General features: G+C 36.0%; 1 protein-coding gene across 49 annotated transcripts in view; it reads left to right on the top strand.

Annotated features, from left to right (window-relative positions):
* The window catches only part of SYNE1 (spectrin repeat containing nuclear envelope protein 1), a 515,676-nt gene that overhangs the window by 155,784 nt on the left and 332,605 nt on the right, over window positions 1-27,287 (top strand). For 41 of the 49 annotated variants that reach the window (XM_017010610.2, XM_017010609.2, XM_047418504.1 and 38 more), the window contains 10 exons: window positions 9,166-9,278; window positions 9,814-9,982; window positions 15,501-15,597; window positions 16,119-16,321; window positions 18,062-18,226; window positions 18,689-18,841; window positions 19,839-19,982; window positions 22,649-22,822; window positions 25,535-25,693; window positions 25,989-26,153. In XM_017010610.2, the coding sequence (XP_016866099.1) occupies window positions 9,166-9,278; window positions 9,814-9,982; window positions 15,501-15,597; window positions 16,119-16,321; window positions 18,062-18,226; window positions 18,689-18,841; window positions 19,839-19,982; window positions 22,649-22,822; window positions 25,535-25,693; window positions 25,989-26,153 (1,542 nt within the window). Of the gene's footprint in view, window positions 1-9,165; window positions 9,753-9,813; window positions 9,983-15,500; window positions 15,598-16,118; window positions 16,322-18,061; window positions 18,227-18,688; window positions 18,842-19,682; window positions 19,724-19,838; window positions 19,983-22,648; window positions 22,823-25,534; window positions 25,694-25,988; window positions 26,154-27,287 lie in introns of those variants that run through there. The other 8 variants (XM_047418508.1, XM_047418510.1, XM_047418507.1 and 5 more) reach the window with 5 other exon arrangements.

Below are 27,287 nucleotides of genomic sequence, written 5' to 3'. Positions count from 1 at the left end.
CATTTGTTTATTTATTTATTTTTAAATTGCAGATTCAGGGGGTACATGTGCATGTTTCTTACATGAGTATATTACATAATGGTGGGGATTAGGATTCTAGTGTACCTGTTACCTACATATGAAACTATTTTAATTGATGTAAATATTTGATACTAAAGAAGTCAACTTAGAATTTTAAATGAAATGTAGAATGTATATTTATTGAGAATTAAATACGTTAATTCAGCAAATAGGCATGGTAGCAAATATTCCTACTATGTGCAGGTTTTCAGCTCCAGGGCAACAGGTGAGGGGCACAGACGAGGTCCAGGCGTTTGTGGTGCCTCCAATCTAGAGGTCTGAGAAGCATCTACACAATTGTTCTTTGTATAATACCTTTAACTTTGACTTAAATGTCCCACCACAGAGAAAATGCCAGACAATGTAACTGCTATTTACTAGTTAATTATAACAGTTTGTAGAAATATTAATTCAAGGCACACTATAGACAGTAGTATCTCCTACGGGGGAGTGAGTCCTAAGTTGGCCAATGCACATGCTATCTGTGTGTTTCAATGGCTATATGATTTCAGGCCCTTCATGAGCCCTTCTAGCTCCCTTGAGAGACAGTGAGAGAGAGACACCCTGTGCCAACCCCCAAGAATACAGCTAGAACAATCTCTCTGCCAAAGTCTAGTGAACAAAGCATAGAAACCAGAAATGAAGTGGATCAGGGAGAGAGAGAGGGGCAGGAGTTGGAGAAAATGGTTATCTGAGGCAAACAAACAAACAAAAACCCAGAAAGGACTAGACTGAAGAGAAAACTAAGGAATGTAATAAAGAGATAAAGGTAAAAAGCAGCGACAGGGGCTCAGGCCAGGTTCAAGGTGAATATTAGAATGATCTTTTCATTGAGGTAGGAACTTCTACTAGGCCTGGGCATGGGTACTTAAAGTAGCTCATAAAACAATTAAATTGTCAATTTTAAAATCAATTCTCATTTATTGAAAAATATATATTAGGAGCCTATAATAAGCTAAGCTTTGAGGGTGAAAAGCTTGAATTATTATTATTATTGAAATGGAGGCTCGCTTTGTCACTCTCAGACTGGAATGCAATGGTGCGATCTTGGCTCATTGCAACCTCTTCTTCCCAGGTTCAAGCGATTCTCCTGCCTCAGCCTCCCATGTAGCTGGGATTTCAGGCATCCACCACCATGCCTGGCTAATATTTGTATTTTTAGTAGATATGTGGTTTCGCCGTGTTGGCCAGGCTGGCCTTGAACTCCTGACCTCAAGTGATCCGCCTGCCTCAGCCTCCCAAAGCGCTGGGATGACAGGCATGAGCCACCACGCCTGGCCAAGTTTGACTTATTAAAACAACTAAAAATTATAAGTTTCCTCAATGGCACCAACTCAGTCTCTCGATTTGATGTAACACCTCTGTGCTGGTATATTGGGCTCACTTGGAGATGCAATAAATTGGGAAAATCACAATTTAGGAATCATTGATGTATGATCAAGAATGTTTGGGAATATTGTCTTCCCATCTTGGTCTAAAAAGTAATTCTGGTTTTTGTCAAGAAAACTTGAACAAGCTATCAAAGTTACAATGCTTGGTTTTTTTCATTCTTCACACCTTTTAAAAAAATAACACAATTTCAACACTTAATGCATAGGCAACGTTTGCAAGTTGGATTCAGATCATTTTTTAAAGGTGTGTTTCCGAGAGTTCACTTTGTGAATGGTTCTGCCAGTGGTTTTGTTTTACTATTTCTGAAAAATTAACGTATATATGTATATATGTGTAAGAACTTATGTATTCTGCAAAACATAGTGTACCTGTATTATCTTTTCTATTTTCCAGTTACCCTAATGTTCAGTTATCTAGAAAAATAACAATAACCATAGCCAACTATTATGGAGGACTTAACCATGTTTCAGTCCTAAGTATTTGATTTTTACCAAACACTTAACATGACGGATGTGAGATAGGTATTATTATCCTTTTTTGCTGATGAGGAAAGTGTAGGCAGAGAGAGGTTAAGTGACTTGCCCAAGGTCACATAGCTGATGAGCCAGGTTGTCTTCAGCACTAGGCTTAAAATGTGACCACAAAGCTATTGCTTATCATACTTGTAGAGTGATTATACTGACTAATTTATTATTCTTAGTATTGATTTGGCAAAGTAAGGCTTTCAGTCATAAGGAATCATGAAAGTAGCCATTAGGCTCTGCCACCTGCTACACATCCTTATTGCAGTTACCAACCCTACCTAGGTCACTTGCCTTCCTTTCTTGAAGATTTTATTTCCTGGATGACAATGCATGTCATAATTCTTAATAACTTCAGTAACCTAGAGATGATCCTCCCAATATCATGACCTCTCAGGTTCTTGACCTCTTCCCCCAGGATCCTGTCCTACACCCAACCCTAGCCACTCACTCCACAGTCATAGCCTAGAATGCTCATCACCAGTAAATGAGACCCCTCCACAAGCTCTTTGTCAAGTACCTTCCTCTCCAGTCAGACAAGGCTTCATCTCCTCTGTGCCCTATAATCTGTTACCCTACCACCTTTTCACTGTATCCTGTTCTCTTTACCATCTCCTTTTGTGCTCTGCTTAAATGCAATGTAAAAGCCCCACTCATCCACATCCTCGCTTGCCTTGTCCGTATTTCACTTTGTTTTAGTGTCCTGGTAAAAACACAATGCCGGTGAAAGCCAGCTCTTTGCCTAGTTCATGCCCACACACATGTAGCTGACTGTGGCTGGAAAAAAACACACCCCCAGGCGCGATGACTAACCCAAGTGGGCCCTTAATGGTGCCTGGCAATCAGAAGGCATTTCCCGACTCCATTCCCTCTTCATTTCTGGGACAACTATTTCATATCTTGTCTCTTCAAACCTTCCACACCTCCTCCCCATCCTCACTCTTAGCTGATGACATTACTTCCTTTTTCTTTGAGAAAATAGAAGCAATCAGAAAAGAATTGCCACCAGCTCCCACGGCCACATCAACCCACCTACGCAATTGCATCTGTGCCCGAATACACGCTCTTCACTTCTGTTACTATGGGTGAACCATCTGTGCTCTGGGCCGAGGCCAACCTCTCTATGTGTACATTAGATCCCACCCTCTCTCCAAAAGGTAATTCCTGTCCTTCCTCCCTTCTCTATTTTTTTCTCTTTCTTTCTTTGTTGGAGTTTACTCATCCACATACAAATATGCTGCCATTAACTCATCTTTAAAAGTCTTTTTCTTAGCCCCACTTCCCCTCCCAGCTACTGTCCAATTTTCTTCCTTCCTTTTACAGCAAAGCTCTTTGAGAGAATTGGCTCTTTCTTCTTTCTAAATTCTCTTCTCTCATTCTTTCTAAAATCCATTCCAATCAAGCTTTTATCTTGCCATCTACCATGTGAAGTTTACCAGGCTTTGCCTCATTCCTCATCCAATGGCCAGTTCTCAGTCTTCTTACATCACCTGTCACAAACATTTCACATAGTTGTCCCTTTACCCTTGAAAGACTTTCTTTAAGGCATGGTGGCTCATACTTATAATCCCAGCATGTTGAGAAGCCAAGGCAGGAGGAGCACATGAGTCCAGAAGTTTGAGACCAACCTGGCCAACAAAGCGAGACTCTGTCTCTACAAAAAATAAAAATAAAAAATTAGGCATAGTGGTGCATGCCTGTAGTCCCAGCTACTCGGGAGGCTGAGGCAGGAGGATTGCTTGAGCCCAGGAATTAAAGGCTGCAGTGGGTAAGCTATGATTGTGCCACTTGTAGTTTCCTTCCTACTCCCCTGGCTGTACCTTTCTGGTCTTCCCTATTCTTTCAACAAATATCTGTTGAGCTTTCTCAGTTGCAAAGCAGTGTTTTAGGCATTTGTGATACATCTGTAAGCAAAACAGACAAAAATCCCTTCCCTTAATTTACCTTCTAGTGAGAGGAGGCAGATAAAGGTAATAAATATAAAAAATAAGTAAATTTAGGTTAGAAAGTAAAAGGACATGGGATATTAGGTGTTGTTGCAATTTTAAATAGGGTTGTCAGTGAAGCCTCATTGAAAAGATGACATCAAACAGGCAAGCATATTCCCTACCTTGAGGTCTTTACCCTTGCCATCCTTCTGGAATGTTCTCATCCCTCAGTCTGAAACATCCTCTTACTGATATTCCCGTTGTGTTCTTCTTCATCTCTTTAAGGCCTTTACTAAAAGGTCCCCTCTTCATCCACCCTTTTCTGGCCACCTCTTTTGAAATTACAACTTCCCCCAAACTCCCCTTCCCCTTTCCCATTTGATGTTTCTCTTTAGCATTTATCATCATCTCAACTGTTACCAGTTTTAATCATTTATCTTATCTTTTGCTTGATTTTCTGCACTATAATGTCAACTCCATAAAAGTGGGAGTTATTGATTTTTTTTCACTGTTGTCTCCCCATATTCAGGCTCTCAAAATTGCAATTGGGTCAATATTGATAATGCATACTTTCTAAAAATGTGTGCATTTGACTAAGTCTTCAGAATTATTAGCATAAAATTGTTCAGAATATTGTTTTATATATTTTGTGGTGTTTTCTGTGCCTATGTATATTTCCCCAATATTGTTTCTTTGAACTGCCTCACTTTCCTTAATCACACTTTGGCATTGTTGATTTGCTCCACAATGTTCTAACCTTCTTTTTTCATCCATTTTATTTCTTTCTTTTCTTTTCTTTTTTTTTTTTTTAGATAGGGTCTGGCTCTGTTGCCGAGGCGGGAGTGTAGTGGTGTGGTCATGGCTCACTGCAGCCTCTGCCTCCCAGGATCCAGTGATCCTTCCACCTTAGCCTCCCGAGAAGGTGGGACTACAGGCATGGGCCACCACACCTGACTAATTTTTGTATTTTTTGGAGAGATAGGGTTTCACCGTGTTGCCCAGCCTGGTCTCAAACTCCTGGGTGCAAGTGATCTGCCCACCCTCCTAAAGTGCTGGAATTACACGCATAAGCTGCAGCACCCAGCCCCATTTTTTTTTCCCAAAGGAATGACAGTATTTTCATGATATGGCTGCTATGTGAGAATAGACTGGGTTAGGAATGGAGACCAGAAGCCAGGGTACCATTTCCATCATCCAGTTAGAGTGCTTTGAACAAGGGAAGTAGCTGTAGAGATGGTGAGAAATGGACAGATTCTGAATATGTTGTGAGGGCAGAACAATTTTCAGCATTAGATACATACCGTGAAAGAAGAAGAGTCATAAATGACACTATGATTTGGGGGCTGTGCAACTGAAAAAACAGTTTCTATCAATTAAGAATAGGAGACAATGAAGCGGCTTTGGGAGGAAAGATCAGGAATTCAGCTTGGGGCATGTTGAGTCTTTTTCTCATCCAAGAGGATATGTGGAGTAAGCAATAGGTAAGAGAGCTCAGGGAAGAAGTACAGCTTGGAGATAAAAATTCGGAGTCATTGGCATCTAGAGGGATGTTTAAAGCTCTGAGACTGGATAAATTAAATAAAGAAGTATATACAGAGAAGAGAAAGGGACCAAGGACTGATCCTGGAGGGAATCCAGTATTAAGAGATTGAAGAGTAGAAGAACCAATAAAAGTCTGAGAAGGAGCAACCAGTGAAGTTGGAGGAAATCCAGCTACAGTGTTGTCTTAGAAGCCACGGGAAGCAAACGTATGGAGGATAGGGTATTTTCAGAAGAATTGCCACAGTGATCCTTAAAATGCAGCTGAGATAATTTCACCAATCTGCTCAAAATTCCTAGTTGGCTTCCATTATCAAAACACCACAAGTTCTTATAAAGACCATTCCTGCAGCCCTTTCCCTTCTTTACCCAACAAGCTGCTATAACACTTGCTTCCTTTGCTCTATCTCATTTAGAGAGGCATGTTGATAAACCCCACAGTGATGTTGATAGTTCAGGTTCTCCTTACAGTTCTATCAGTTTTTCCTTTATATATTTTGAAGTTTAATGGGCATGCTCAAGTTCAGGAATAATGTACCTTCTAGTAAGTTGAAAGTTTAATCTTTATGCAATTAATTATAGATGGTTTCCAACTTATAGTGATTCAACTTACAATTTTTGACTTTACAGTGGTGCAAAAGCAATATACATTCAGCAATGACATGAGATATGATATTCTTATATGAGATATTCAACATTTTATTATAAAATTTGGCTTTATGTTAGATAATTTTGCCAAATTGTAGGCTAATGTGAGTGTTCTGAGCACATTTAATGTCGGTGAAGCTAAGCTATAATGTTTGGTTGGTTTAGGCGTATTAAATACATTTTTGACTTACAACATTTTCAACTTACAATGAGTTTTATTGGGACATAACCCCATCATGAGTCAAGGAGTGACTGTACTTATAATGCTTCTGTTCTGAAATCCATTTTGTCTGATATTAATGCATTTATATCAGATTTCTCTTAGTATTTGCCTGACATGTGTTCCATTTTATTAATTTTAACCTATCCATGTTCTTAATGATTAGGTGTATCTTTTGTAAAAAGAAGATAGTTCTGTTTTGTTTGTTTGTCCAATTTGGTAATCTCTGTCTTTTAACTAGTAAATTTCTACTTTATTCACATTTATTTATTATTATTGATATACTTGAATTTGTTTCTAGCATCTGAGTCTTTGCTTTCTAACTGTTCTACTTTTTCTTCTTTTCTACTTTCTTGCTATTTATAAGTTGATTAAGGAGGTTTTGCTTTTTGTCTCCTTCCTCATTTTTCTTATTCCATGGTTTTATTTCTACTAGCAAGAAAGTTATAAACTCTAGTTGTACAGTATGATTGCCCTCAAAATTTGACCTTAGATATTTAACAAAATTGAAAGTTAGCCATATCTTAACCCCCTCTTAATCAATATAAGTAATTATGAATACTTTAACCAAACCACTGTCCTTTTTATCTTACACATTGTTGTCAAGTATTAAATTATTGACATTTTTCTAGCATGATAAGTTTGTTGTTTCTGCTGGTTCTCACTCATGGTGGCTTGTTTCCTGTGGTTCGTGGTCTCTGCTTTCCTCCTATTGTATTTGCATTTGCTAATAACCTGGCCATGTTAGCCCTCATTGAGGGTTCTGACTAAATGGAGGAGATCTCATTTCAGTGTCCTCATCCTGTTCACATTGTAAGACTCAATCTCTCTCAGCAGTGGTGTAGATATTTGCCCAGGACAATCTGGATTTGTCTATTTGTTTTTTGCCTACAGGTCTGTGATCTAGTTTTTGGGTCATGTTTTACTAAGAATGGGGGACCTAAAATATTTCATTTACTTCCTGTGAACCCAGCAAGGTGAATTAAAATCATATATTTTGCCCAGCATCTAGCTGCTTTATAGTGAGATGGCCTTTCAGAGGAATCAGTGACATCATGCCAACTGTTGAAGTTCTTTTTTTTTTTTGAGACAGAGTCTTACCCTGTTGCCCAGGCTGGAGTGCAATGGTGTGATCTTCCCTCACTGCGACCTCCACCTCCTGGGTTCAAGTGATTCTCCTGCCTCAGCCTTCCAAGTAGCTGGGACTACAGGTGCACGCCACCATGCCTGGCTAATTTTTTGTATCTTTAGTAGAGACGGGGTTTCACCATGTTGGCCAGGCTGATCTCGAACTCCTGACCTCGTGATCCACCAGTGTCCGCCACCCAAAGTGCGGGGATTACAGACATGAGCCACCACACCCGGCCTAAGAATTTCTTTTATCATATGTGTGAAAATGTTTTTGTTTGGGTAGCTTGTAAAGACTTTTTCAATATAGTAGATACTTAAAAACTGTCACAAATCAGAGCTAGCTGGGGTGATAACTCCAAGTGTGCTCTGCAGTCACTTGGGAAAGTTTCAGCCCAACCATAAGCTACAGTAATGTGTCTGTGTGTGGTAAAGGAGGTAGAGAATGGCTAGAATACTCATCATCAATAGCTGCTCTAAGAACACCTGTTTGTTCTCTACCCTCCTGTGATGAGTTCTTGGCTTCACATAATACCCTCCCTTGAGGCACACATGACTTGTGAGTATCTCTGCACTTACCTTCAGAGTCAAAGCAGGTCAAAATGTGATCATAGCAAAATATATCAGGTTAGAAATAGTTTGGCCCTAAGGTTTTTCTACCATGTTAAAATGTCATATGTGGGCAAGCATATACAAACCTGAACATTTTAATTTATAATAGAAAAGTTTTCACTTGTCCCACCAAGTGTGTCTCTTGATTTTAGGCTGGTTTTGCTACTAATTTCTCTAATTTGCTAAATTTTAGTATGAGATAAAAATATTAATTTTAATGTATTATTTTGGTGGTCTAATATGTCTTACTTTTTCAATGAGTGACACATTTTTAAGTACTGTATTTATTCTGCAATCAAGACACAAACTAAGCTCTAGAAATTAAGGCATGAATCTCCTTTCACCTGACTTCTTCCTTGCTTCTATGTGAGAAATTGGTGAGGGAGTGTAAAATACATGTACATCTTTTTAGAAATTAGTTTGTAAATGATGAAAAACACAGCAAACAAATCAAAGAAGATTCAAATTAACCTAAATAAATGAATCAAACCTGTGGAGTTCTATACAGTCTATAATTAATATTTATTAACATCACATTTAATCTTCTCACTGTGTTACCTATGGGGTATTCCCTGCACTTGTTTGAAATTTTCTAATCAAAAGGGTATTTCAAAATATATTGTAATATGATTGATTTACTTTAGATGGCAAGCAAATACCACTTTATAATAGTCTGCATGCATTCAAAGTAAAATAACAGTAGAAAGCCTAATCTCTTTTGCCATTAAAGGTTTCAATTTGTCATGCTCAGTTTTAAGCTTTTAAAAACCAACATATCCAGAAAGGCAAAAAATACTAAAATCATTTCATAGCAGTAATTACATTTTCCTTTGGATCATGTGCCTTTAAAACGTCTGAATGCATTGCTGTGCAAGTGTCATGTGTGTTTAAAAGATGCATAATTATTAGATGCAGTTCCAGCATAGTGTTTTAAGTACAAGCACCCAGCTCCTATTCAAGGTAAGAGCCTTTGACAGGCACCAAGCTGCCTCTGAATGTGGCAGCGGGATCAAATTGTTGAATACATTGACTCATCGGTGCGGGCTGGAAATTATGCTTCTTAGCCCTCTGTGAAACATGTTTTTCATTTTTTATTTTTTTTTAAACTGTATCTTAGGATCTGCTTCAAAACACGGATGCCCACAAAAGAGCATTCCATGAAATCTACCGGACCAGGTCTGTTAACGGGATTCCAGTGCCACCTGATCAATTAGAGGACATGGCCGAGAGGTAAGAGAATATCTGCATTTAAAGGAAGTCTCTTTTTAAAACACTAGGTGGACGCTTTTTATATTTCTTTTATTTTTTCATGATTTTTTTTTAACAGAGGCGCCTACCTTTGGTAAATAGAAAGCGGGCTCCCATAAGACATGCTAAGAATGCCACCATTCTAATGTATTATTAACTGAAAAGAGTGACTCTGAATTTATCCACAGCCTAGAAATCACAGAAATGGTTTCTTCAGAGGCTGTATTTTTGTTCAGTACTGTAAGGAACATTATGTAATATTGCAAAAACAGCTTATAAAAGAAACAGACGAGAGATGTGTTGGCAGGGGAAAGAACTAAATCGAAGACTTCAATCATTCATGCTTTGCTTTTAAATCCAGAGCTAGAAAAGGAATCGGATTTCCAGAAAATGATCAGCCAGAGTTAGAAGAGCTTGTGGCTGCATTCTATTTAAGGCTGACATGTAACAGGTTAAGTAAGCATCAGTTCTGTTACTATTAGTTACATTCTATAAATTCTCCCTGTTTTATTTCTAGGTTTCATTTTGTTTCCTCCACATCAGAGCTACACCTAATGAAAATGGAATTTTTAGAATTAAAGTACCGTCTGCTCTCACTGCTGGTTCTTGCAGAGTCAAAGCTGAAGTCTTGGATCATTAAGTACGGGAGGAGAGAGTCAGTGGAGCAGCTTCTACAAAACTACGTGGTGAGTCCCCCGTGCTTTGACAGAGAATTCCTATGAGCCATGGATTTAGCAACACAGTTCAGTTTCTTTGATGTTGTTATTTTAATTCTTGAATTTAAACATAAAGATAGCGTGTGTTAAATGGGTTAGATACAAGTTTATGAGCTTTTCAGAATTATCTGAAATCTAAACCTATTTCTTTGGAATTTGATTATTTAAAATCCCCTAGTTCAGTTTAGTTTAATGCTTTGCTGCATTAATCATATGGGACCATCCTGACTGGCTTTATTGATTTTTAAAAAAAGTTTTTGTATTGCATACCCACATTTTTTATTGGAGGTCACCATTTCAACTACATTAAAATACTTAAAGATTACCTTCATGTCTTTTAAAATTCAACTATGACTAGTTTAGAACCATTCTCAAGTGTCCAAATGGGAACTATCTATTTTTTTTAGATTGTGTCCACTGTGTCTTTTTTTACCGTAATTCCCTGGGCTTCATTGCCTCTTGTGTGCACCCTGGAAGAGTAACATTTTATCTATGAATCTCTGTACCAACTTAATTTTTAAGGATTATCTCACATTTTGGGCTATCAATATAGATAATTCTATGTTTACTAGAATCATAGACCTGCATTGATGAAAGAATTTGTTTGCTCTGTAACTAGCAGTTTTCACTTACATGTAATTAGTGTATTATAGATACTAAAGACAGGTTATTTCTTAGTTAATTAAACATGGCCATCCTACAAATTAATTTTCAATGCAAATTTGCTCATAAAATTAATGTTAATAGAGTATCTTAGTCTTGTACTGTTTCATTTATGTTTAAACACAAATACTATGATAAATCAATGATCTTTTAAAATATAAACCCATTTGTAACTTGATTAGTCACAGTGACTCTAAAACATGTTCTGCTTGAAGTACTTATTGAAACCATATTTTCACTGAAGCATCTTAGAACTATAATCTGTTTTGCTACATTTTAATTTCATTTTCTGTGACGGGTGAACAACATACAGTTGAGAAAAAAATGATTTAACTGCTTTACAGTAAAATCTTTCCCTAGATTTACTAAAATTGTCTAGGAAACATTTGTTCCAAAATGCAAAATCTGTTATGTTCCTTTACTCATTTTTAGTTGTTTTGGAAAGTTATGAAAAACTTGATTTTAAGCTTCAAGCAATTACGTTAGTTCTTCAAATATGAAATACAAATATGCATGTATATTTTCAGATTTAGTCATGCCAAATGATACCCTCTCAGCCCAGTAGTTATTTATACCAGACACAGTCTTTGTTCTGGATATTTCAGAACAGCCAATCAGATTTAAACAGCTAATAAGACTATTCCACCAGGTTAATGTTCCAACACAATGATATTAATAATTCTCTTTTTCTCAAATGATATGTGAATAAACAATTATTAATGATAAAAACGTTAGTACTCCCTGCCTACTTCATCAAGTTCACTCAGCTACTAATTCCAAACTGCCTTGTAACTTTCATAACTATTCATAAAATTGCTGATTATCCTACATACGTAGCATGCTTTAATTAACATTTCCTAGTACTCTCATCTGCTACTGAAGAATACCTACTTATCACTCGTGTTTCTTTTCTGTGAAGGGTTTTAAGGTAATTTTGTTTAATAGTTTTGATAACCGTGGAGTATGGAGCATTTCCCACATGCCAAGTGTTTTACATGCATCATTTTTCATCTCAGTGATGGCCCTACAGACTGGGGGTTTCACATTGTTTTAGATACCAAGGAGCCAGTGCAGGAGCACTGAGGTTCCATAGACTCAAGTCACTTGCTCCTGGCGGCACACGCTCCAGGTGGTAAATTGTGGAATCAGAAATTGAATCCATATCTTTCCAAATCAAAAGCCCTTGAGCTTAAGTGCTGAATATCACAATCTAAAAAAAATTGTAAAAAAAATTTTTAACTTAACAGACCAAATCATTGATATGGTATCTTACGTCTTAGTGATCTAAAGAATGTAATTCACATAAATATCAGTTCAATTTAATATTGGTCCATACCTGACAATATTTTACACTTACATACCTGTAAGTGTACTGTGAAAGCCTCATAGTTGCTATTAGTTATATATGAGGCAGCATGGTTGTAGTGGTGGGGAACTGATGAAGTGCAGATACCAGCCACTAGAACTGTGTTTGGTCATGGTTTAGCTACTGAGCACCCATGTGTCTGTGAATAACTTAATTTCTAGAAGGCTTAGTCTTTCCCCAGTGTTTAATAATGATAATGATGATGATAATAATAATAATAATGAAATGGTAGGAATTTTTCTAGGGAACAAAGACTGACATATACTGTTTTTATTCTATGTTAACACCTCATAGAGCCTCTCTTATCCTTTTAGAGTGTTATGGAAAATCATTCATTATAGAACAGGCTATTTCAAAGAGGCTGAAAACTTTCAAATAAAATCACAAATCACCAAAGTCAGTTTTGTAAGTGCAATTCTTTCCTTGGTTTACACCCCCCACACTCCCCCAAAAAAGGGCTGGGGGCAGCAGCTCACACACACCTGTAATCCTAGCACTTTGGGAGGCTTAGGTTGAAGAGTCACTTGAGGCCAGGAGTTTGAGACCAGCCCAGGAAATATAGTGAGACTCTGTCTCTACAAAAAATTTTAAAAATTTAGCCTGGTGTCATGGTGTGCACCTGTAGTTTCAACCACTCAGGAGGCTGAGGCAGGAGGATGGCTTGAGCCCTGGAGTTCACGGCTGCAGTGAGCTATGATCTTGCTGCTGCACTTCAGCCTGAGCTACAGAGTGAGACCCTATTTCAAAAAAATAAAAATAAAAATAAAGTATTATAATAAGCTACATGCTTCTACATCATCTAATAACCAAAGTAATATTCAGGCCATAAATTTTCCGTAATTATATTTTCCTTAGTCATAATTCTCAATTCAGACTTATCCGTCCTGCAAAAAAGAAAGAATACTTTTTTTAAGTGTTAGAGAAAGAGAATGTACATCCAACTCAGATATGCAGCCACTGAGTGCTTAAAGAATTCTTGGAAAATACTTCACAAATCCTTTCTATCATTAATTTAGGCCACATGCCATTGGTAAGTGATTGCATGCTGTAATGCAAACCAAAAGGTAATTGGTTTAGTCCTTGCTGTCAGAATTGTTGACAATGACCAAAACATGTGCTTCCATTTCACCATGGAAAAAAGAGGCTAATATTTCAATCTTTCACATGAAAGAAAAAAAAACAGCTCTTGAAATTGTGGACTGTGTGAATGCAACATAGTGTGAATATTCATTTTATTATTCATAATTATATTTTAATGTAAATAGTCTTGATAAACCTCTCCTCAATGTTAATTTTAAATATCTCGAATAATCTGGCATAGTTGCATTCAAGTGAAATTGATGAGCTTCATATTTATTATATTTACACTCATCTTGTGAAAGTAGAAATGCGGTCACTAACACTAAAGTTAAATACCAAAAATAAGTATGCCATTTACTTTTCTTGAAGCACCATCAACTTTAAAAGTCCCCTGATTAAAATGGCTTATTTGTTGAACTTGGGATCCAAGTTTCAACCTCATTTTGAAAGAAATAAATGAATCTTGTTATTATTATTTTAAACATGCATTTGTATTTTTCTGACAGGTGTGTCTAAATAGCTTACAGTAAAATGGAGATTTAGCAGTTCTGCCAAAGTGATTCAATAGATAAAATAATCCATATTGCTAAATGCATTTACTCCATGTTCAGAAAAAAAGGACCAAATTAAATGGACCAATACAAATTTAAAATACAAAATAGGTATCTTTCTTTAAAAATTAATCATCCAGTCTTCCTAATAGCCAAATTCAAAAATACATTAATGAGTGTCTACAGCATTTATAAAACATTCTTTCTGAAAACATTCTCCCCTCTTTCCTGCCTCGTGGACCAGAAATTAAATTGGAAATAAGATTTTCTCACTTGTTCATTTTTAATTATTTTGTAAACTTCTCTAGGAAAAGCATATTTAAGTCTTCCTATGAACCACATGCACTATTTCCCATTTCTTTGACACTTAGAAAAATTGTTTTGCTATTAGCTTCTTGAAATTTGTACCAATACTAAATGCAGATTCTTTTCTAAACTTTGCCAAATATAATTATTTCTTCAATTTCTTACGCAGTATCTTGAACATTAGGTATAATTTTCCATTTTTGATCAAATAATGAATTGCTTGTTTAGTTAAATTATTCAAAATTTAAATTCTAGTAAATTATTCTTTTCTCAACTGGGTTGTAATAAGAAGATATAAGGCTAAATAGTGAATTAATCAGAATACTATTGTCTGACTTTATTCTCAAACAAATAAAATAAAGCCAATTAAAGTTATTGAATGTAGTATTCATCATGGAACCTCTCATTCCAGCTTTCTCTATTCACTTTATCCCTGAAGAATAGTTAATTTATAAGTAAATGCTTTATAAACATAAAATGATATGAAATATGTTATAGATACAATTTTTAAAATGTTATCTCAAAACAGTTATCAATAAAAATCCAGAGATTTCTATGAAATTGCTGCATGAATAATGTTTCCTCTGCACACAAGTGTCTTGCATCTCTATATTAAGCATTCATCAGCGTGCTATACAAGAATTCAGCTGGTTTTTGAAGGCTAATTTTGTATTTATGACCGTGACATTTATCAAGTATTTTAATAGATTCAAATCATAGGAACTCATTATACTATCGCAAGAAATTAAAGAGCCTTTGGTGATATGTTCTTAACTGTAATTGCATTAATTTTCTACTTTCAAGAAGTAATAATAATCTTTGAAACGCACATTATTTTATATTCCTAAAAATGAACAATAATAACATTTACCTAAGAACTTTTTTGTCTATTCTCAATTTTATAGTATTCACTTTCCAGTAGTGATTCTATTATATATATAAATTACAAATAGATATATAAACATGTCTTACTGCAATTTTTCTGTAATAGGTCATTGAAATGTGAGACCATTGATAACATGGATAGAATATGTAATTATTTCCAATTTTTCTACTGACTTTTTATTTTAAGGGAAGCATTTGTGCACCGTCATTTATTTATAATCTGGAGTTCCTCAGAGCAGTCATTCACCAGGATTAATGTTCAAAGAGCAACAGAATTCCGCAGCTGAGACACAGTGGGACACTTTAAAATGTTCTTCTAAATTTAGTGCTTTCTAAATGTTAGACCCAAGTTCTCTGGAGAAATTTCTGTCTCTTCAAAAAGCAAACCCTTGGTTGGTGAAGAAATAGAATATTTTCTCAGTCCTGTACTGGGTTAGAATCAAAAGCGTGGAATCAATTTATGTGTTCAGAATGATCTTAGGTAATTTGTAGCAGTGGAATTAATTTTATGTTTTCAAGAAGACTGAGATTAACAAATTTGGGTAAACTGTGCTTATAGCTATACTGAAGAAAATTGACTTTGGCATTCTACATGAGCCTAATGTTTGCTATCTTCTAACCATTCCTCCTTTTCTAGTCTTTTATAGAAAATAGCAAGTTCTTTGAACAATATGAGGTGACATACCAGATCTTGAAACAGACAGCTGAGATGTATGTCAAAGCAGATGGTTCAGGTAAAACATACTACAGAATTTGTTGCAACGTAGACTGCAGTAGAATTTAGAGCCTGCAGGTTTCTATCTGATCAGATCATTCTTTCTGTCCGTGGAATTTTTGAGTGACCTTGCCATTGGCCAGGAGAACACATACTGGATTCAGTTCCCTTGGCTTTGTACAATGCCTAACCTGCATAATCATTGTGTGTGTGTGTGTGTGTGTGTGTGTGTGTATGTGTTCTTCTAAGAGAGAACAAAATAAGCATTCATTTTCTAAATTGCATCTAAGGATTAAAGGCAAAAGCATAGAATACGTTAAGGATTACCAATCAAGTAAATGAGAAATTAATTAGTGTAAAGACACAATTTGTAAAATACATTTGTTTTCCATTTGTAATTATGTCTGTCATATTTGTTGGAAATGAACTCTGGCATTTGTGATGGATACTATTGCACACCAATGTATAAGACCATAGAAAAAAAGGTGTAGAGGATTTAAAATATGAGATAAGGGTTATAATTGGTTTTATCTGTTTCAGTGGAAGAAGCTGAGAATGTGATGAAATTCATGAATGAAACCACCGCTCAGTGGAGGAATCTCTCAGTAGAAGTGAGGAGTGTGAGGAGCATGCTGGAAGAAGTGATCTCTAACTGGGATCGCTATGGCAATACAGTGGCTAGTCTGCAAGCCTGGCTAGAGGATGCTGAAAAAATGCTCAATCAATCAGAAAATGCCAAAAAGGTAAGATTGGTTCATGCAAAAAGAAAAGACGTTTGATGTATGTAAAAATGAGAGACTTTTACAGCGTAGCTCACTAGGGGGTCGCATATATTTACAAGTGTCACTCAAGAATCTTGACTTTGCCTGAAAAGTTGCACTTTCAGGTTAGCAACAGACCAATAAATACACTGCTTAATAGAAGCTGATGGAGGGTTGAGTAAATCCAATGGGCAGCAAAGGGGAGGGCACTATATTACCCTGAAGTCTGTCTATGAAGGGGAGTGTCTAGGGCCCCAGCCTTCATGGATTTCCTGATTTAAGAGAGGATGAAAACAACTTTGTTTTCACGTAGTGCTGAAACACATACTACTGGATCTATGTGGTAGCATACGCCAGTTGAACAACTGGACCATGACATTTGTATCTCGTTAGATATTCTGTTTTGGATTTTATCAACCTTCAAGCAAGGGTCTCATTCTGGGTAGGAGTGATTTATTTTTTGGCCAGTTATAAGTGTGTATGTGTGTGTGCCTGTGAGAGTTACTGTTTTATGTTAATGTCACTTATATGTAAATGTCACATGAAATGGACTGATTTCTGCTTATATACTTCCTAATGGGAGCCTGGCATTTTTACATGGAAAATCAATTTATATGTAAGTGATACTAAAAATGCATGCATTAGAATTACCACATGCCATCCAAGATTGGTTCATCTATTATTGTTTGGACAAGTAGATGTATCACTTTTAAATGTTTTACCATTCCATATTTCATGTAGATCAACTATTCTTGTGTAGCTGAGGGAGGCAATAACTATGTACCCATACAGATTTTGGCTTTTCTGATTAGACTGGCAGTGCCCTAGTGGATGTCATACATGTTAATTTGATCAAAAGAAATATAACCACCAGAAACAGAAGTGTTCTAATCTATTTATATATGTAGGAAAGTCCTCCCACACAAGGCTTACGAAATGGATTTTGAATTATCTTTGGTATCCTTGTTTTTCACTGTGATGTGTGTTGTGTGTGTGCGTGTGCACACATACGCTTTATTTAAAATGAGTTGGAAACTGTTTCATTGCCAAGAGGGAACCCTTAAATAAATAAGAAAGTGTGTTATTGTACTAAGTGCTCTTGACTCAGATATTTAATTTAAAATTTTTTGCTTCGATGGTTTATCTCCATGATTGCTAATTATCTTAATGTACTACACTGAAATTTAAAAATCAAAAGTAGCAGGTCAAAAAGAAATTATTAAAGAAAGCTATTCTTTCTTTAAAAAGGAATAAAAGCCCCAACTTTACCACCACACAATCTATGCATGTAACAAAATTGTACTCATACCCCATCAATTTATACAAATAAAAAAGGAAGCTATATATTTCCCTAATGTATTATGCCTTTTATATGACTCTGGCACTGGTATTTACTAGCCTGAAGGTTATGCACAGGTCTCTTACACTTACAGAAATTCAGCTTTTTAATCTGTAAAACAGAAATAACAGAAAATGGTCATCATGTTTTGTTTTGTCTTCGGCAAATGATATGGCACAATTGTTCTTATAAAAAAAGACAGTATCTCTAGCTCACATTTTGAAACTTTTTATCAAAAATGTGCATTTTAAAGAGATTTGTGATTTATCTTAAAATTCACATGAATGTTAAAACAAAAATATTTTTCCTACTTTAGTCACTTTCATATCAGTCACTGATATTTGGTTTATGGTTTATGATATTGTGCATTATTTATTGTTTAGGATTTTTTTCGAAATTTACCTCATTGGATTCAGCAGCATACTGCCATGAACGATGCTGGCAATTTTCTAATTGAAACCTGTGATGAGATGGTTTCCCGTGACCTGAAGCAGCAATTACTGTTGCTAAATGGGCGGTGGAGGGAGTTGTTTATGGAAGTCAAGCAAGTATGTCTTTCAAGTCTATATACACCTCAACGTGTATGTGTTACAAATGTGATAAGTAGTCTGTTTAGAGAGAATGCTATTTTTAGAGCACGGGTTTATTAAGGCAAAGCATAGATATGTTTAAAACCGGTGTGTTTTATGGTTGGTTCTTCATTCTTTTCCATGTATAATGGAGGAATATTACACAAATGCATTAGTTTGATTAAGGATTATGTTGACATATGGAGCCTACTTATATGGAATGATTCTCGTTTCAAATCATATTTCTTCATTTTCATGCTAGTTTCTTTTTTTCTTTCAAACTAATTGGACTTACTTCAAATTTATCTAAAATGAGAATCAAAGATTAGAGTCTTTCTTACCGGATAACAATTCCAGCGAATATGTGAAAGTGAAAGTTGTGGTTCCAGTGGTCGCAGCTAAATGGCTTTCACGATGTTCCCTCCTCCCTTTCCTTAACAGTATGCTCAAGCTGATGAGATGGACAGAATGAAGAAGGAATACACAGACTGTGTTGTTACCCTGTCTGCTTTTGCAACGGAAGCCCATAAGAAACTTTCTGAACCCTTAGAAGTCTCTTTTATGAATGTCAAGCTATTAATTCAAGACTTGGAGGTGAGGGGTTTCTGAATCAAAATGAAAAGCCTACTCTGTTGTGAGAGGAAAGATCAGCAAGTTTATTCAGATCATTGCAAAAGCTGTTTCTGTGTCTCCTGGGCATCATTTTGACATGTCTGTATGTCCCAATTTGCACCTGTCAGAAAAAAATGTATTGAACATAAAAAAGACATGACTTGATCATATAAAGTAACTTCAAATTGTTTCTCAGTTTGGAGATTTTTTTTTTCTACAACCAAGTTAAAAAGTATTAGGAAAAAACAGGAGACATCTATAGATAGCACCCGCACCTAAATACTTTCAATAATAAAGGATTTATTGCATGAACTGTGGTATTTGCATATTTTGAATAGCCTGCAGCTCTCACAAATGAAGTAGTGGAAGAATTTTTAATGACATGGTAAGATTTTGCAATATATTGTTACATGAGAAAAGCAAACAACAGTATCATTCTTTTGTCTTTGTAAAAATTTTAAAATGGGTGTAAACACAGGAAAAAAAAACTTAATGATGTATAGATAAGATGTTGGCTTTGGGTTTTACTGTGGGAGAAGACTATAAGTAATTTAAATTGTCATTATCCTAATATTTCTAATTTATAAGTTTTTATAATGGCAATGAGTTACTTTTTTTTTTTTTAACGAAAACCAGTCTAATTTTTAAAGTCAGAATTCCCCCACATTTTAAATATACATTTACATTTTATTTTATATTTCCATACTACATTAACATGGGATTTGTTTTGGAAAGTACAAAGATCATTTCAGCTAATCTTGATGTTTTGGTCACTTTTAAAGGAAAATTTTATTAACTATATAATATTACCAATATTTATTAGTAATGAAGGGAAGCAAAAACTGGAATCGTCGAAAGTTTAGTGTAAGTATTGGATTTTATACAGTGCATATTGATTTTTGTTCTGCCTTCTGTGGAATCCGGAAGTTAAGAGGAAATGTGTCATGTATGAATCTGGCTGTTTCAATGATTCATGCAGGATATTGAGCAGAGGGTGCCTGTGATGGATGCCCAATACAAGATAATTACAAAGACAGCACACCTCATTACCAAAGAAAGCCCCCAAGAAGAAGGAAAAGAAATGTTTGCGACCATGTCAAAGCTCAAAGAGCAGCTAACCAAGGTGCGAAAATAATTTAATGCACAATAGGCTGTGTGACACCAACAGTGCCTTCAGCTTGCTTGCTACCTCCTTCTCCCCATGGGCAAAGTGTTTACTTGTTAACGATGCTTTTGTTTCTAATTGGGATTCTCAATTTAGTAACTTTGTCATGAATTAAAAAAAATAAAACTATGATGCTGATACCAAGTATTACCTCTGTTAATTTAGAAGTATTATAGCTATATTTTAATAGAAAGTTAGATACTTTTGGGGAACGGTTACATGTGATAAAACCAAGAGAGGGAAAGAGAGATAAAGAGAAAAAGGAGATGAGGAGGAGGAAGAAGAGGGGATCATAAATTTAAATGAGAATTGGTTAAGATTTGTTTGATATATCTCCACTCCAAACTTATTTGTGCAATTTTCTGCAAGCATAGCCACAAAGCTGTGGAAATTCTGACCTCCTCATCTCATGGAGCTCACTTAGGCTTAGAATATATACATTTAGGCCAGGTGCAGTGGCTCACGCCTATAATCCAGCACTTTGGGAGGCCGAGGCGAGCAGATCACAAGGTCAGGAGTTCGAGACCAGCCTGACCAACATGATGAAACATCGTCTCTACTTAAAAATACAAAAATTAGCCAGGCATGGTGTCGTGCACCTATAATCCCAGCTACTCAGGAGCCTGAGGCAGGAGAATCACTTGAACCCGGGAGGCAGAGGTTGCAGTGAGCCCAGATCGCGCCATTTCACTCCAGCCTAGGTGACAGGGCGAGACTCTTTGTCTCAAAAAAAAAAAAAAAAAAAAAAAAAAAAAGATTATATACATTTATACCTTTTCTGTACAGGGAACTAGATGGATGTAAGCACTAGTCATAAGCATTTTCTAGTCTATTCAGTGATTTTCCTTAAGAGCTTTGGAAGTTCCATTGGGATTTGTTATCTATCCAAATATGAATTTTAGGAAGATGGTATTGTTTGCAAAATCCACCTAGATTGGGTAATTAATTTCTAGTAAAAGAGAGAAGTGATTATAATAAATGAATGGAAATATTTTAAAATGAAGAATGGGAAAACAAAGTAGAAACAAAGTAGAAGACCCTGTTAAATAGGAAAGAAAGGTAGAAAGGAAGAGAATAACCTCTGTGACATCAGTGGTAGGGAATTAATGAAAAAGAATGCATTCAAAAAGCTAAAATAGGAAAAATCATGACCATAAAAAAGAGAAAATTTTATCTATCAATATGGTATGTATGAGAATGTTTATGTTCAGTTCATTTTATTTTAACATTCAAGTTAGAATTATTTATAATTTAAAGGTTGTGGGCAATAATGATAATATTGGCTACTAGTAAAAGCTGCTAAACAATAAGTACAATTTGAAGTCAACATTTCCAATTTGATAACTCCCCAGCAGCTTTCAGGGCCATAGCTGGGCTTGCACATCTTAGCCTGAGCCATGCTTAGGTGTTCAGGACAACCCCTGAGAAAGCAAATTGTCATTTGCCTTTTTACTGTTTCAGATGCAGCATCTTGATAGGTTTTCTCTTCTACCCAGGAGAGATCAATAAAACACACTGATTTGTATACACATTAGTAGACTCTCTTGGTTTTGTTCAAGGTAATTATATCAGAGTCTTGTTGCAGTAGCAGGATGGTAACTTTCTTTTGATGAGTGTATACTTCAGGCAGTATATCCTAGAACATAAAAACGTTTCTTCATACATAATTCTATGTTTAACAGTAGAGCAAAATGTTGCCCTCTCCCACTTTCTTCAAGGATTACTTTTTGGAATATGCCTCATCTGGTTAGAACATTATTGTCTTTATACTATATGAAAAACAAAGAATGGCTTACTAACAAATACTGATTAATTTCCTTTCCCTGGTTATCTGAAAGTATGAGAAGAGGTGGGAAGTTCTTGGAGGATGAAGAGTAGACACCTCCTGGAGCTCTTGATTTCCAGGAGCTAGTGGCCTCATCTTTAAGACAATGCAGGTCTATAAACTAAAACATGTTTTACAAGACAAGTGACAGGTAAGGGCTGCATCAGTTTGGACTACAGAGCCCTCCCCTAGCATGGGAAGCTTCATGAATAAATTGGTGTGACTTTAGTGCTTCGGATGAGTAGGATGTTGATAAGCAGGGAGCAGCAAAGCATGGAGCTGGTGGGAGGCAGGAAAGCACAGGCCTGTCTGGGAAGAGTGAGTCAACAGGTTTCTAAGTTTATCAGCAGTCAAGGGTTCAAGTAGGCGATCTCTTGAAAACAAAGCTGGAAGACACAGGTTGGTCTAGGTAATATAATAATAATTCATGACTGTCTTAGGTCAGATTTCAAGGCCAAAGTGAAAATGAGTTGCATGGTTTATGAAGTATAATTTGATGCCATCTGGCTCACTAAAAACAATCATTTAGATGAGAAAGTGCTATCCAGATGGACGATTTAGATGAATTTTCATGAGAAAACTCAGTAGCCATTTATTTGTCTCAGTGGTACAGCACTATTATTTTTCACAGCAAAATTTGACAATATAGAGGAAATATCATTAAAGAAATGTCTTTGGATATTTGTAAGCACCAAATGATCATGTCACTAAAGAAAATGTTCCTCAGAGCTATGAACGTTCCCTGAGCTAGTGGCACTTAATGGTCTTTCATGGAATTTTTGTCTTTATGTTTTTAAAGGTCAAAGAATGTTACTCCCCACTCCTTTATGAGTCTCAGCAGCTGTTGATTCCGTTGGAGGAATTAGAAAAGCAGATGACGTCCTTTTATGACTCACTTGGGAAAATCAATGAAATTATCACAGTTCTTGAGCGTGAGGCACAATCGAGTGCCCTTTTTAAACAAAAACATCAGGTGAGAACAATCCTTTTCAGGAGACAATTATTCTAAAGCATGTGTAACAAGACCAGGGTGTTGCTTACAGGAATAGAAATTCAGTGAGGACAAGAAACATTTTTCTAGAATAGTACTACTAACTCAAAACAAAAATACATGTCTTGTCCAAAGATGAAAATCCATTCACTGTCAGTGCAGGGGCTATGTGAGCTGTTTGTTTCCAGGGAATGGTCTAGCTGGACTCAGGTGCAAACCAGGCTCATTCATCTGAATCAGTAAGTTCACTGAGTTGAGCAAAGTTAGAAAAAATGGTTTGTTTTGAGCACCCAGCTCCCCTTTCTATCAATGGAGCAACATTGTGATCTGGCAATACTCAGCAAGCATTTATAAACATCTGCTGTGTGCACGCGTAAGCCATGCATCCTGAGCCCCAACTACAGAAAGTGCAAAGTTCACAATGTCTCTGTGAAATAAGGGATGTGTTATAGAGATGGAGCCAAATCCGCCACTCTAACTTCAAACATTAAGGGTACCCATAATCAAAGGACTTTCTATTATTTCTCTGCTTTGTATTTATTTACTTTTCTTAGAGTTCCTGCCTACTAGCAATAGACCACATATAGTCTATCCTTTTAAAAATACAGATAAGAATTTATTTACATTAAACTTTTTATGGGCTTTGTTCATGAAACGTGATCCCTAGGTTTGCTAGTAGAAAGACACTATAAGAAAATTAAATAAATATCCTGTCTCTACATTACATAACTAAAAGATAAATATATATAAATTTTATATGTATAAAACTTATACAGAGAGGATATTTATATAAAATATATAAATATTTGTATTATATATACAGATATAATATTTTCCTTCTTATATTGACTTTCTTTTGGAGAATCATTTACTGTTGCTTCCCACACATAGCTTTAGGCATTACCTGCTGCCTTGCTGATTGACGAAATGGTTAATTTCACTTAAAAAGGCATACGTGCCTTCTTTTCTTGATACTTTGAAAACAGATAGATAGATAGATAGACAGATAATTTGATATATATTTATATACATATAATAAAAACAATTGCTTTCCATTTTCATCCAGTATCCATAACCTCTGACTTATGAGATCTTTACTTTGCTTCTTGAAATATGACAGTTTAAACAACCTTGAAACTCTGGAAATGTGTTTGATGTGATAATCATTTTTCTTTGTCTCATTTTTAGTAAACAGATTGTATGCATAACAGTCTCCTACTGAGTGTTGTAGTTAATTGGGTTATTTGGTTTATTATAATGAACCTGTCCATCAGAGGAGAGAGACACTAATGTACAAAAGGTTTGCCACTGCATTAATTGACATAGGTTCATGGGAGGAAGGTAGCATCATTAGTAGAAAGAGCCGAGAGTGTCTGAAATGAGTCTGACAGATATTCAGATCTTAGATCTAATATTGCAAATTAGGAAGCTTTGATTAGCTTTAACTTCCTCACTTTAAGATGAAGGCTACAATACCTGAGTGTAAAGCTTATTGCAGATATTACATTAGATACACCATAATGTCACTAGCATATAATAAGTGGCACTATATGACTGATAGCATTATTATTATTATTATCTGTAGTGAAGCCACAATGATTATACCACCAAACTGCATTCTCATTGTATTGGATAGAGATTATCTTTCATTTTTAGACATGGTGATATCTCCTACATTTCTAAATTTGTACAAGTTGTCATTATACAATCTTTCCATAATTAAAATAATGTTCATAGCATTATTAATAATAAAATCTAATAATACATTTTGGACTTATATTACCCTTTTATCTCCTAAGTTTTCAAAAGGAAAAAGTATGTCTTTATTCTGTTTTTCCCAAAACAAACAAACAAAAAAACCATGCTCTTGATATTTGCATCTGGATATCCAAAAATGGCATCCAAATGAGCAGTTTGAAGTATTTTTCTAACGCAGTTGAGGATACTGAAATGCAAATGGTGTAATTCAAGCCAAAAAATGACCCTCTGCCTTGTGCTGGGCTCAATGATTTCCATGCTGTCTACTGCCAAAATCACAATTGCAGGCTACAAGTCAGAGGTGGAGGTGTCTGTAAGTCACCATTGCATCTTGTCCTGCAGATGTGCAGCAGTTGCAAGTCTTCCCCAAGTGCATCGGTCTGCTGCCTTTTTTTATTAGGATCTGAACCCTACCATTTCATTAATAAGGCTGATAGGTTGTACACCTTCAAATATTATAAATTTAGGATATACTATATATATATATATAGTGCATCTCTTTCAGCAAAGTGAATGTGCATTGATGCTCAATTTGTTTAGTCACATTAAAACCTGATATGTATTCATTGATTTCATGATTGTTCTCTCAATAAACAACAGGCCTATCATCTTACTAGAGGAATGCAGACCTAGACAACTTTTGATGCTCTATCATTTTCTTAATGACAATAAAATGTACATGAGGTATTTAAAAATCTCAAAAAAAAAAACTCTTTGTAACATTTAAATGCCTTATATAAGAAAGCACTGACTTCAGTGATTGTTTAAAATTGAGATCTTTTGAAATGTTCCACCATACTTTTGGTTTTACTTATTGGTGTTAGAAGCCTAAAAGCTATATAATGTTGTTCTTATTATCTGTAATGGTCACTCTCTTTCTTTCTCTCTCACTCTGTCTTGTAAATAACATTGTTGTGGGGTTTCATTTCGTTATAGGAACTGTTAGCTTGTCAAGAAAACTGTAAGAAAACCTTGACACTTATTGAGAAAGGCAGTCAAAGTGTTCAAAAGTTTGTGACCTTGAGCAACGTGTTAAAGCATTTTGATCAGACGAGGCTACAAAGACAGATTGCAGATATTCATGTTGCTTTTCAGGTAATTTGCTCTCCCTGCTTTAGAGCTGTGAGCCAGGGAAAATGCAGAGTGAGGACAAGAAACCATCACTCGTGCTTTTGGTCTTGCTAAAACGCCTTACCTGCTGGTGTTTGGAAGCCAATCATTGTCCTACTTTTTTACCTAATATTAATTAATATTGAAAAGAGTTAATTATTCCCATGATGATGAAATGTCTTTTTTCCAAGTGCTTTTTAAATGAATAATACCCTCTAACAAAATGATCCTTTCAGTAATGAGAAAGCAGCATCACATTATGATTGTTTTTCACATCAAGAGTATGGTAAAGAAAACTGGAGATTGGAAGAAGCATGTGGAAACCAACAGTCGCTTGATGAAGAAGTTTGAGGAGTCTCGAGCAGAGTTGGAGAAGGTACTGCGGATTGCTCAGGAGGGCCTGGAGGAAAAGGGGGATCCAGAGGAGCTCCTGCGGAGACACACTGTGAGTCCACCCTTTAGGGGACACTTGACCTGAATACATGGACAAACAACCTTGGAGGAAAGCTTAAAAAAGGCATGCTGATCTGATACAGAAGGAGAGCGGGCAGATGAGTCAGGGAAGCAGAGACTTTTTAGGTATGAGACCCAAAGATATGGTGAGCAAAAAGAACTTCAAGAGAGTTGGTGAGCTGACTTGTCATTGGCCATTCCTAAGTCCCCAGAATAGTAGACAGTCATAGAATAATTCAAGTTATCCAAATTACTAATTCATTATTTAGCTTGCAAATTCTTCTATAACTAAAGATTCTTTTAAACAGATAACTCGAGGTGACTAGCTAAGTCCTTTGTGCTCATTTTATACATTCACCATATCATAGTATAGATACTGTGTCACTTGAAGTCTGGTGGCTGATACACAACTTGTCCCAGTATCTTCATGTTTATCATCTTCATGTTTATCATGAAAAGCCATCTTCATGTTTATCATCTCAATATCAATATTGGGAATATTAGTCATAATGTTCATGAATGGTATATGGAAATAACCAGCACTCTGAGAACATGTATTTGAGTTATCTTTCCTGACATTTCAGTGGCTATTTGTATAAACCACACTCTCAAATGATATATGCAATGTATTTGTGATTCTGCAGACTAGATTTAGGGTTAATGTCTGTGACCACAAAACACAAAATATCTCATTCAGTTTATTCACCTCTACAGTATGGTACTTCTTGTTTTGAATCACCGTTTTTACAAAATAATTCTGCATGTCTACTCCTGAGACTGTGTGAGACTTAGTCATATGTAATATGTGCATGTGTATTGTCTTTATCTACTTGACTGCCAGAGCAAAATGCCATAGACGGGTGGCTAAAGCAACAGAAACTTATGTTCTCACAGTTCTGGAGAAGGGAAATCTGTGATCAGGTGCTAGTATAGTAGGGTTCTGGGGAGGGCCCTCTTCCTGGCTTGCAGATGGCTACCTTTTCCCTGTGCCCTCACATGGCAGAGAGAGTGAGCTAGCAAGCTTTCTGGTGTCCCTCCTCATAAGCGCACTAATCCTATCATGAGGACCCCATCCCCATGACCTCATCTGAACCTAACCACCTTCCAAAGTTCCCATCTCCAAATA

This window comes from Homo sapiens, chromosome 6, assembly GCF_000001405.40.
Source record: "Homo sapiens chromosome 6, GRCh38.p14 Primary Assembly".
Lineage (NCBI taxonomy): Eukaryota > Metazoa > Chordata > Mammalia > Primates > Hominidae > Homo > Homo sapiens.
The sequence above is the reverse complement of the archived record's forward strand: the minus strand, read 5'-3'. Positions and strand labels throughout refer to the sequence as shown.